This window comes from Homo sapiens, chromosome 13 (genome assembly GCF_000001405.40).
Source record: "Homo sapiens chromosome 13, GRCh38.p14 Primary Assembly".
In the NCBI taxonomy this organism is placed as follows: Eukaryota; Metazoa; Chordata; class Mammalia; order Primates; family Hominidae; genus Homo; species Homo sapiens.
The window spans coordinates 95,813,746-95,826,434 of NC_000013.11; the positions used below are offsets into that span (position 1 = coordinate 95,813,746).

The window sequence follows — 12,689 nt, forward strand, 5'->3', positions numbered from 1 at the left end:
TTTGCAGCAGCCCTTCCCATTACAGGCCCAGAGACCTAGAAGGGAAGAATGGTTTCATGGTCCAGGCCCAGGGTCCTGCTGCCCTGCACAGCCTCAAGACACTGTTTTCCTCATTCTGACCACTCTGGCTCCAGCATCGGCTAAAGGAGCCCCAGATATAGCTCAGACTGCTACTTCAGAGGGTGCAAGCCATTAGCCTCAGTGGCTGGCATGTGGTGTTAAGCCTGTAGGCATGCAGAGTGCAAGAGTGAATGAGGCTTGGCAGCCATCGTCTAGATTTCAGAGAATGTATTAAAAAAAGTCTGGGTATCTAGGCAGAAGCCTGCTGCAAGGGTAGAGTCTTAGAGAGAACCTCTACTAGGGAAGTATGGAGTGAAAAAGTGGGATTGTACCCCCCACAGAGAGTCCCCACTGGGGTACTGCCTAGCAGAGCTATGAGAAGAGGGCCACTGTCCTCCAGAGCCCAAAACAGTAGATCCACTGGCAGCTTGCACCTTCAGTGTGGAAAAGCTGTAGGCACTCAACTCTAGCCTGTGAGAGTAGCCTCGGGGGTTGAACACGGCAAGGCCACAGGGGTGGAACTGCTCAAGGCTTTGGGAGCCCACCCTTCATATCAGTGTACTTGGATGTGGGACATGGAGTCAAAGGAGATTATTTCGGAGCTTTATGATTTAATGACTGCCCTGCTGGGTTTTGGACCTGTGTGGGCCTGTAGCCCCTTTCTTTTGGCCAATTTTTTCCTTTTGGAAGAGGAATGTTTATCCAATGCTTACATCTCCTTTGTATCTTGGAAATAACTAACTTGTTTTTTATTTTACAGGCTCATAGGCGAAGGGATTTGCCTCAGATCTCATGTCCTTCTCACATTATAAAATACAATCATGCCTTCCCAATAGTCTCCTAAAGTCTTAACTCATTCCAGCATTAACTCAAAACTCCAAAGTCCAAAGTCTCATCTGAGGCAATCTCCTTTGACTTCAACTCATTCTATTAGACAAGCATTACTTTGACATTAACACCAGATAAAGGCATTAAGAAAATTATAGAACAATATTCTCCATGAACACAGATGCAAAAATCTTTAAGAAAATTTCAGGAAATTAAAACCAGCAATATATAAAAAGGATCCTCCATCATAGCCAAGTAGACTTTATCTCAGAAATACAAGGTTGATTAAACACTGTAATGTCAATCAGTATAATTTATATATTAACTACAAGAGAAAAGCCATATGATCATCTCAACAGATATTGAAAAAGCATTTGACATACTCAAGTATCAATTTATGATTAAAACTCCCAGTAAACTAGGAATAAAAGGAAACTTTTACAGCCTGATAAAGGACATCTATGAAGACCCAAAGCTAACATCATCCATAATGGTCTAAAACTAAATGCCTTCTCACTAAGATGAAAAACAGGCATGGAAGGGTATCTGTTCTCAACCCAGAGGCCCTTGCCAGTCCAGCACAACAAGAAAAATAAATAAAACACATTACTATGAAGACTGGAAAGGAAAAAGTAAAACTATTTTTATTTGCTGAAGATATGATCCACTGTGAAGACAATCCTGTGAACTCTACAACTATAACAGGACCCATTATGAAAAAATTCCTAAGAACTCTACTAGAACTAATAAGTGAGTATAGCAAAGCCACAGGACATAAGTCCAATATACAAAAATTAATTGTATTTCTATGTATTAGCAACCAACAAGAAATTTAAAAATACCATTTATATTAGCATTCAGTTATAAAATTCTTAGTAAAATATGTACACTGCAAACTAAAACTCTGCTAGGAGTAATTAAAGACCAAAATAAATCAAGAAACATATCGTATTTATGAATTGGAAGCTCAACATAATCAACACATTAATCTTCACCAAACTGATTTAAAACAAGAGTTGCAATCAAAATCTCAGTGGGCTTTTTTGTTTTCCAAAGAAATTCAAAATCCAAAACTTAAAAAAGAGCAAAAATCTTGAATAGGCACTTTGCAAAAAAACTTATAATATACAGATGGCCAATAAGCACAACGATATGGTTTGGATCTGTGTCCTCACCAAATCTCATCCCCAGTGTTGGAGGTGGGAGGGTATAATTCCCTGGTAGGAGGTAACTGGACCACGGGGGCAGAGTCCTCATGAATGGGTTAGCAGCATTCCCTCGGTGCTCTTCTTGTGATAGTGAGTGAGTTAGTGTGAGATCTGGTTGTTTAAAAGTGTGTGGCACCTTCCCCTTCTCTCTCGTGGTCCTGTTCCTCCAATGTAAGACACCTGCTCCTGCTTTGCCTTCCACCATGAATAAAAGCTCCTTGAGGCTTCCCCAGAAGCAGATGCTGCCATGCTTCTTGTAGAGCCTGTGGAACCACATGAGCCAATTAAACCTCTTTTCTTTATAAATTACCCAGTCTCAGGTATTTCTTAATGGCAGTGTAAGAACGAACTAATATTATAATTAGTCTGTAGGGAAATGTAAACTGAAACTACAACAATATATCACTATGCATCCATTAAATTAAGAGAGTGATATCAAATGTTAGTGAGGAAGTACAGCAATTGGAACTCTCATATGTTGTTAGTTAGAATGTTACAACCACTTTGGAAAACAGCTTCTCAGCCTCTTAGGTTAAATACAAGCTTTCCATATGACCCAACACCCCCATACTACTAGGTATTTACAGAAGAGAAATGAAAACATATGGTCCAGACTAAGACTAATAATAGCCCCAAACTGGAAATAACCCAAAGGTTCATCAAATAGAAAGGATAAGCATAGAATAGTATATCTATACAATGGAATAGCATTCAAGAATAAAAAGGAATAATCTACTGATATATTCAACAACATGATAAGTCTTTGGTTTCAATTTTGTGAATTCAAACAAAAGAATATATACTTATTCAATGTATGGCACTGGAGGAAAGGCACAACTGTTACAACAGAAAGCAGCTTAGTGATTGTAAGAGTTGGGTGTGGAAAGGAAGGTTCTGCCACAAAGGTGAATTGCAGAGCTGCATGAGGTAAGGAAAATGTTCTACATCTTGATTGTGATGGTGGTTACATGACTGTATATATTAGTAAAAAGTCACTAAACTGGGCTGGGCACAGTGGCTCATGCCTGTAATCCCAGCACTTTGGGAGGCCGAGGCAGGTGGATCACTTGAGGTCAGGAGTTCAAGACCAGCCTGGCCAACATGGCGAAACCCCCTCTCTACTAAAAATACAAAAATTATCCAGGCATGTTGGCACATGCTTGTAATCCTAGCTACTTTGAGAAGCTGAGACACAAGAATCGCTTGAACCCGGGAGGTGGAGGTTGCAGTGAGCTGAGATCACACCATTGCATTCCAGCCTGGATAGCAAAGCAAGACTTTGTCTCAAAAAAAAGTCACTAAACTGTAAGCTTAAAATTGGTGAATCTTATACCTCAGTAAAGATTAATAAAAACAAAAAATCAAAGTGTAACATAAGATCATAAACATTCTGGTATAATCAGTAAGTATAAGGGTAACAACTCAAAAGTTAGAAAAATTTATACTCAGATTAAAAGGAAAGATCACGTGCAGTGCCTCAGGCCTGTAATCCCAGCACTTTGCGGGGCTAAGGTAGGCAGATTGCTTCAGGCCAGGAGTTGGAGACCAGCCTGGACAACATAGCAAGACCCTGTCCCTACAGGAGAAACAAAATTAGCTGGGCATGGTGGCACATGCCTGTGGTCCCAGATACTTGGGAGGCTGAGTGGCAGGATTGCTTGAGCCCAGGAGTTTGAGGCTGCAGTGAGCTATGATTGCCACTGCATTCCAGCTTGGGCAACAGAGTGGCAGCCTGTCTCTAAAACACAAAAACATTGGAAGGAAAAAAACCACAATGTAAGTATAAAAAATATATACCTAAAACTTACGAATGTTGAAAATAAAAGGCTGAAGACATGCAAAAGCAAATTCAAAAAAATTCTAAAAATTCTAAAAGCAAATTCTAAAAAATAGCAAAGATTATAACATTAGAAGCTTCATTAAAGAAAAAAGCCATGATGAAAAACTTAAATTCTAAGAGGGAGCAATATTACAGATGACATTCATTGCCCATCATGAAATTAAACTAGAAATTGATACCAAAATTAGGAGAAAACCCACTACTATAGGAAATTAAAATGAAAACAACAACTTCTCTTTGAACCAAATAAAAAATTAAATCCAAACTATATTATAAAAATTATAATAAAAGTCTAGTATTTATCAGAATCAGAACCTGGGAGAAAAATGCATAGCACCAAAAATACCCTGGCCAGGCACTCATGCCTATTATCCCAACGTTTTGGGAGGCCAAGGCGGGAGGATGGCTTGAGCCAGGGAGTTCCAGAACAGCCCCGGGCAATGCAGTGAGCCCTCGTCTCTACTGAAAACAACAATAATAAATTAGCTGGGAGCAATGGTGCACGCCTGTAGTCCCAGCTACTCAGGAGGCTGAGGCTGGAAAATTGCTTGAGCCCAGGAGATCGAGGATGCAATGAGCCATGACTATGCACTACATGCAAGCCTGGGAGGCAGTGTGAGACCCTGTCTCAAAAAAGAAAAGAAAATCTTTGCATTGACATCTGTTTCCAGAACAACATGGCGGCAGCTTATTTGTGAATTGTCCCTCTTTCTTGTTGTTAATAATATATAACAACAAGAAGAAAACAAAACAAAATCCACAAACAACATTTCAGCAAAACTAAGAAACAGAAAACCTGCAAACTCAAAATTGTGGTTAAGTACTGCTGAAAACAGAGTTGTACAGCAGAACTGGATGGGAAGTTGCAAAGGTACTATGGAAGAGAAACATGTTAAGGGAAAGGTGGTCTGACAGGTGCTGAGAAGTCTCTAGCATCTTCCAGAAGAGCAAGAGCCTGTTACTGAGAGGAAGTGCCTGTGAGTGTGATGTAGCTTGAACAGGGCAGGACTGATTACTGGGGAGGCAGAGAGAGAAAGCTAATCAAGGCTCAGGCTGTGGGTACAGAGGGGGAAGATCTCACAAAATACCAGCTATAGTGGCGTCACCTGGGATGGCAAGAGGAGGGATTTATGAAACAGAGACCTGCAGGAAGAAGCCTTTCTCAACCAGGCTAGGACTTGAGAGCCAGAGCTGCGGACACATGGAAGAGTTACCTCTAGGCCTTTCCCACAGCAGCAGTAGAGAAAACACTAAACTACAAAGCTGAAACAACCATGACCCATTATATATTACCTTCCCTAGGATCCTCCTGTGCTCCAAGTCTAGGAAACTCTTTCATTCAAAAATTCATTCAAAATACTATGAGAAATAAAAAATAGGCTAACATTCATACAGTTAATGAAAACTTACCCCAAAATCACACAAAGTAGATGACAATTATAACTTAAGATTCCAAGATGAGCTAAAAAGTTTTTAAATATTGATAATATATTACCTTTCTTGGTGTTTCCCTTTATTATACTCTTGAATATGTTTAAGCTTCTATTACATTTGTCAACTTTCAACATCACTTGACTGCCAGTTATTACAAATAGAGTAGTAAGCAAGTTTATTCTTCTACTTTTTCTCCCTTTCTATTTTTTGTTGTTGTATTATTCCTGCCTTATTAGACTGTCTAACATTTATTTATATACCATTGTTATCCTTACATCTATCTTTGATTTAGTCACTGCTCACCACCAAAATAAATAAGCTTATGGAAGCCCTAAAAGCATAATGAATAAAATAGACCTTATATATACACACACACACATATACATGTATACATATGTATGTATGTAATAGTATATATGTATATATGTATGTATGTATCTATACTTCGGTAAAGAGAATGCATCTTCTCTTTAAGAACTCATGAAACATTCATAAAAACTGGTATTAGGCCACAAAGAAAACAACAATAGATTGTAAAAGGAAGAAATAATACAGACAATATTATTTGATCTCAATACAATAACAATAGAAATAACAAAATCAGAAAACATAAAGGCTCTTTCACATAGGAAAACATCAGTCTTCATTATACAACTCTTAGGTCAAAGGGGTAGAATCAACTAAAACTGAGCTAACACAATGTAGAAAAACAGGAGAAAAATAAGAGAAAGCATGAATGTACAAAATAAGGAACGAAATAGGCCGGATGTGGTGGCCCATGCCTGTAATCCCAGCACTTTGGGAGGCCAAGGTGGGCAGATCACTTGAGGCCAGGAGTTTAAGACCAGCTTGACCTACATGGCAAAACCTCATCTCTACTAAAAATACAAAAATTAGCCAGGCATGGTGGCACACACTTATAATCTCACCTAGTCGGAAGGCTGAGGCACAAGAATCACTTGAACCTCGGAGGCAGAGTTTGAGCTGAGACTGCACCACTGTATTCCAGCCTGTGTGACAGAGTGAAACTGTCTCAAAAAATAAATAAATAAAATAAACAAGAAACAAAGACTTTTTTTTAAAGGGGATACTTTTTATGACACTATAGAATATATCCAATATAAATCTTTTTCTTGGAAAACATAATTTGCCAAAACTGACTCCAGAAGCTATATAAAGCCTGAACAGATTAATTTCCACAGAAGAAGCAGACAAAGCAGTCTACTCCCCTAAAAAGCCCCATGTCCCACTGCTATGTAAACTGTTCCAGAGCACAAAAAAGGAATACAAAGCTCCTAATTCTTTTTATGAAGTGGTGGTAACTTTGGTAACAATAGAAAAATAAATATTAAAACCTGAAAAAATTGCACAAAAGAGCTCTACAGTTTTCATCTATGAATATTGAGGCAAAAATATTTAGACATTAGAGACAAGACTACCAGCACATATAAGAATAATAGGTCATGACCAAGTGAAGTTTATTCTTTTTTAAAATTTTTATTTCAATAGCTTTTGGGGTGCAAGTGGTTTTCGGTTACTTGGATGAATTCCATAGCGGTGAATTCTCAGATTTTAGTGTACCCGTCACCTGAGTAGTGTACATTGTATCTAATATGCAGTCTTTTATCCCTCACTCCCTTTTCCCTCCTTCTGCCTCAAGTCCCCAAAGTCCATTATATCACTGTACATCTTTGTGTCCTCACAGTTTAGCTCTCACTTATAAATGAGAACATACGGTATTTGACTTTCCATTCCGGAATTACTTCACTTAGAATAATGGCCACCCAGTTGCTATAAAATACATTATTTTGTTCCTTACTAGTATTTTCATTCCTTTTAGTCCAGGGGATATATATACCATGTTTTCTTTATCTACTCATTGGTTAAGGCATTTAAGTTGGTTCTTTGCAATTGTGAAATGTGCTGCTACAAACGTGTGTGCATGTGTCTTTCTCATACAATAACTTCTTTTCCGGTGGGGAGATACCTAGCAGCGGGATTTCTGTATTGAATGGTAGATCTACTTTTAGTTCTTTAAAGAGTCTCCATACTGTTTTCCATAGAGGCTGCACTAATATACAGTCCCAACAGTAGGGTAAAAGTGTTCCCTTTTCACCACATCCATGCCAACATCTACTCATTTCTGACTTTTTCTTCATGGCCATTCTTGCAGGAGTAAGGTGGTATCTCATTGTGGTTTTAACTTGTATTTCCCTGCTGAATAGTAATGTTGGGCATTTTTTCATGTTTGTTGGCCATTTGTGCGTCTTCTTTTGACAAATTTCTATTCATGTCCTTTGCCCACGTTTGATGGGATTATTTTTTTCTTGCTAATTTGAGTTTTTTGTAGATTCTGGATACTAGTCCTTTGTTAGATGCATAGTTCACAAATATTTTCTCCCATTCTGTGGGTTGTAGGTTTAGTCTGATGATTATTTCTTTTGCCATGCAGAAGCTTTTTAATTAGGTCCCATTTACTTATTTTTGTTCCATTTGCTTTTGGAGTCTTGGTCATGAATTCTTTGCCTACGCCAATGTCCAGAAGAGTTTTTCCAGTGTTATTGTCTAAAATGTTTATGGTTACAGATTTAAGTCTTTGAGCCATCTTGAGTTAATTTTTGTATAAGGTGAGAAATGGGGATGTGGTTTCATTCTTCTATATGTGGCTTGCAAGTTTTCCCAGCATCATTTATTGAATAGGGTGACCTTTCCCCAGTTTATGTTTTTTAATGCTTTGTCAAACAACAGTTGGCTGTAAGTATTTGGCTTCATTTCTGTGTTCTCCCTGCTGTTCCATTGGTCTACATGCCTATTTTTATACAAGCATCACACTGTTTTGCTAACTATAGCCTTGTAGTAGAATTTGAAATCTAGTGATGTGATGCTTCCAGATTTGTTCTTTTTGTTTAGGATTGCTTTAGCTATTCAGGCTCTTTTTTTGGTTCCATATGAATTTTAGGATTGTTTTTCCTAGTTCTGTGAAAAATGATAGGGTATTTGGATGGGAATTGCATTGAATCTGTAGGTTGCATTGGGCAGTATGGTCATTTTCACAATATTGATTATTTCCACAGCATGTGTTTTCATTTGTGTCATCTATGATGATTTCTTTCAGCAGTTTTCCTTGTAGGGATCTTTTACCTCCTTGGTTAGGTATATGCCCAGGTATTTTCTTTTCTTTGCAGCTGTTATAAAAGGGATTGACTTCTTGATTTGTGTCTTAGCTTGGTCATCCTTCGTGTATAGCAGTGCTACTGATTTGTGTGCAGTGACTTTGTAGCCTGAGACTTTATTGAATTAGTTTATCAGAACTAGGATTTTTTTGGATAAGTCTTTAGGGTTTTCTAGGTAGATGGTCATATCACTGGTGAACAGCACTAGTTTGACTTCCTCTTTTCCACTTTGTTATGTCCTTTATTTCTTTTGCTTGCCTAATTGCTCTGGCTAGGACTTCCAGTACTATGCTAATAGTTCGTACATGTAAAGGTGTTCATAGTGGTCTCGAATGATCTTTTGTATTTCTGCAGTATTGTTTGTGATGTCTCCGGTTTCATTTCGAATTGAGCTTATTTGGATTTTCTCTCTTTTTGGTTAGTCTCACTAATGATCTATCAATTTTGTTTATCTTTTCAAAGAACCAGCTTCTTGTTTCATTGTTCTTTTTTGTTTGTTTCAATTTCATTTAGTTCTGCTCTGATCTTTGTGATTTCTTTTCTTTCAATGGCTTTGGGTTTAGTTTGTTCCTGTTTCTCTAGTTCCTTGAGGTTGTCTATTTGTGCTCTTTCAGACTTTCTGATGTAGGCATTTGATGCTATGACTTTTCCTCTTAGCACTGCTTTTGTTGTATTCCAGAGGTTTTGATAACTTGTGTCACTATTACCATTCATTTCAAAGAATCTTTGAATTTCCATCTTGATTTCATTATTAATCCCCAAATCATTCAGGAGCAGATTATTTAATTTCCATGTATTTGTATAGTGTTTACAGTTCCTTTGGGAGCTGATTTCTAATTTTATTCCACTGTTGTCTGAGAAGATACTTGATATGATCTCGACTTTCTTAAATTTATTGAGACTTGTTTTGTGGCCTATGTTGGAGAATGTTCCATGTGCTAAGAAGAATGTATATTCTGCAGTTGTTGGGCAGAATGTTCTGTAAACTTCTGCTAAGTCCATTTGTTTTAGGGTATAGCTTAAGTCCACTGTTTGTTGGCTTTCTGTCTCAATCTATTTAGTGCTGTCAGTGGAGTACTTAAGTCCACCACTATTATTGTGTTGCTATTTTATTTGTTGGGTCTAGTAGTAACTGTTTTATAAATATGAGAGCTCCAGTGTTAGGTGCATATAAATTTAGTATTATAGTATCTTCTTGTTGGATTGATCCTTTTATCATTATATAATGACCTTGTCTTTTTTCACTGCTGATGCCTTAAAGTCTGTTTTGTCTGATATAAGAATAGCTACGCCTGCTTGCTTTGGTTTTCATTTGTGTAGCTTATCTTTTCCATCCCTTTACCTTGAATTTATGTGAATTCTTATATGTTAGTTAAGTCTCCTGAAGAAAGCAGATATTTGGATTGTGATTTTTAAATTCATTCTGCCATTCTATATCTTTTAATTGGAGCATTTAGGCCATTTACATTCAATGTTAATAGAGATATGGGGTAATGTTCTATTCATCAATATTAGTTGTTACCTAGATAAACTGTTGTTGTTGTGTTAGTTTTACAGGCTCTGTGAGTTTTTTATTTTTTATTTTTTGCTTTTAAGAAGTTCTATTTTAGTGCATGTTGAACTTTTGTTTCAGGATTTAGAACTTCTTTTAGCATTTCCTATAGTGCTGGTTTGGTAGTAGCAAATTCCCTGAGCATGTGTTTCTCTGAAAATGACTTCATTTCTCTTTCGTTTATGAAAGGTTTTAGTTTTACTGGATTTATTCATTTTGCTGGATACAAAATTCTTGACTAACAGTTATTCTGTTTAAGGAGGCTAAAGATAGGACCCCATTTCCCTTCTAGCTTATAAGGTTTCTGCTGAGAAGTCTGCTGTTAGTCGGATAGGTTTTCTCTTACAGATTATTTGATGCTTTTGTCTCACAGCTCTTAGAATTCTTTCCTTCTAGTTGATTTTAGATACCTGACAACTGTGTGCTTCGGTGATGATCTTTTCATAATGAAATTTCCGAGGAGTTCTTTGAGCTTCTTGTATTTGGATATCTAAATCTCTAGCAAGGCCAGGGATGTTTTCCTCAATTATTCCCTCAAATAAGTTTTGCAAACTTCTAGCCTTCTCTTCTTCCTCAGGAACACCAATTATTCTTAGGTTTGGATGTTTTACATAATCCCATATTTCTTAAAGACTTTCTTCATTTCTTTTGATTCCTTTTTATCTTTGTCTTATTGGATTAATCAAAAGCCTATCTTTGAGCTCTAAAATTCTTTTGTCTACATGTTGTAGTCTATTGTTGAACCTTTCCATGGCATTTTATAGTTCCCTAAGCATGTCTTTCATTTCCAGAGTTCTGATTGATTTTTCTTTATATCTCTCTAGAAAATTTTTCATTCATATCCTGAATTTTAAAAAAATTATGTTGGTTTTCACCTTTCTGTGGTATCTCCTTGAGTAGTGTAATAATCTTCTAAATTCTTTATCTGGTATTTCAAAGATTACATCTTGGTTTGGATCCACTGCTGGAGAGACCGTGTGATCTTTTTTGGGGGTGTTAAAGAACACTGTTTTGTCATATTACCAGAATTACTTTTCTGGTTCCTTCTCATTTGGGTATACTATTTCTTCTAATTGTTCTTTATTTTTTATTTGACAGCATTTTTAATTTCTTCTTTCCCCCTTAAGAATGTGAGTTTAATGTTTATTATAGCTTAATTTGGTTATTTGTGCTTTTGGGAGTGAAGACTCTATGAATTCCTTGGTTGTGGAGAGTCTTTCTATGATGGCTTCCTCAGATGTGGTTGTAATAGTCATGTACTCAGTGTGTTGGCAAGTTTGCTATCTCCTATGGAATTGTAATGGCAGAGGTCTCTTGAAGCTTACCTCATTCCCCTGTGGTGTGCACTTTTTAATTTAATTTCTCCCCAGTATTTTATTTACTGAGTTGATGGTTCAGGCTTCAGGATAGGAGTGGTATCCCTGGGTAGGAACCTGTTGTAGCTAAAGCAGGTGGTAAATGTAATATCCAATGGTGGACAGAGGTACCAGCCTTGATGAAGGTGGCTGAGGGAGCTCTCAATTAGATGCACTGATGTCTTAACAAGGGGAAGAGTGAGAGCCACCTCAGCTTCCTTGCCAGGCCAAGCAAGAAAGCTATCCAACTCCCAGACTCACTCTTATCCCAGTGGTCCAGCTATTCAGGTATTTTTATCTGTAGGCATGTTGATGTTCTAAGGAGAGAGGAATTGTGACTGCCTCTTGTGCAAGCCTGAACCTGGAGGATACCTCTCCTGCGGCAATGCAGTCACCCTGAAGTGTTCCAGGAAGGCTGTCTATAGGTTCAGCCACACTGAGCTCCTGTGGGAGAAGCCCCAGCTGTGTCTGCAGTGGTGGACAAGGTGGGAAAGGTCTTCTCCAAGACCCTCCAAGAGCACCAAGTCTGCCTGAATGTTGGGGTACAGCTCCAGACTTTTTCCTGCTGAGCCTAGCACTGCAATTATGTCTCTGCTGAAAGAAACTCCCACCAGCAGAAAGATCTGGGACTCAAGGCCTGTTGTCTGAATTCTTTTGTCCCACAGGTTGCTCCCTTGATGTGGTGCTCTTCCCCTTCTCCTAGGAGTAGGAGTCTCTGAGAACCAGACTACAGTGATTGCTACTGCTCTTCTGTGTCCAGCCAACCTGTAGGGCCAAGTGGAGTTTATTCTAGGAATACAAGGATGCTTCAATATTAGAAAAAATGATTCGATATTAGGAAATATATTAATATAGTTATAGATTATAATTTATAATAAACTACAAATAATGTTGTAGTTTATAATCTATAAGTTGAAAAATTATGTGTCACCTCTATTTCTGTTGAATAAGTTGATAAAATGCAACCAATTCAACCCATCTTTGATAAAAATATTAAAATAGGAATCAATGGTTATTTCCTCAAGATGATAAAAATATTCTTCTTCAGTCCAACACTATTATCTTAACGGGGAAACATAGAAGTTGGTCAACCACAGTAAGGAAAAAGGCCTACTACCACCACTTTATTATTTAACACCGTATTAGATGTATAAGTCAAAGCAAGTAAAATAAACAAACAAACAAACAAAAACAGTGTGATGTACAATGATCAGAAAGGAAAAGGGAAAACCATCTTTA

At 37.6% G+C, this 12,689-nt stretch overlaps 1 protein-coding gene across 14 annotated transcripts in view; it reads right to left on the reverse strand.

Moving 5' to 3' along the window:
- Nucleotides 1-12,689, reverse strand: part of UGGT2 (UDP-glucose glycoprotein glucosyltransferase 2) — a 251,822-nt gene that overhangs the window by 12,166 nt on the left and 226,967 nt on the right. For 11 of the 14 annotated variants that reach the window (XM_017020662.2, XM_011521096.2, XM_011521095.2 and 8 more), the window contains one exon: nucleotides 1,508-2,359. The exons of the other annotated variants lie outside the window; for them this stretch is intronic. In XM_017020662.2, the coding sequence (XP_016876151.1) occupies nucleotides 2,196-2,359 (164 nt within the window). In that variant the 3' untranslated portion in view covers nucleotides 1,508-2,195. Of the gene's footprint in view, nucleotides 1-1,507; nucleotides 2,360-12,689 lie in introns of those variants that run through there. 14 annotated transcript variants of the gene reach the window in all.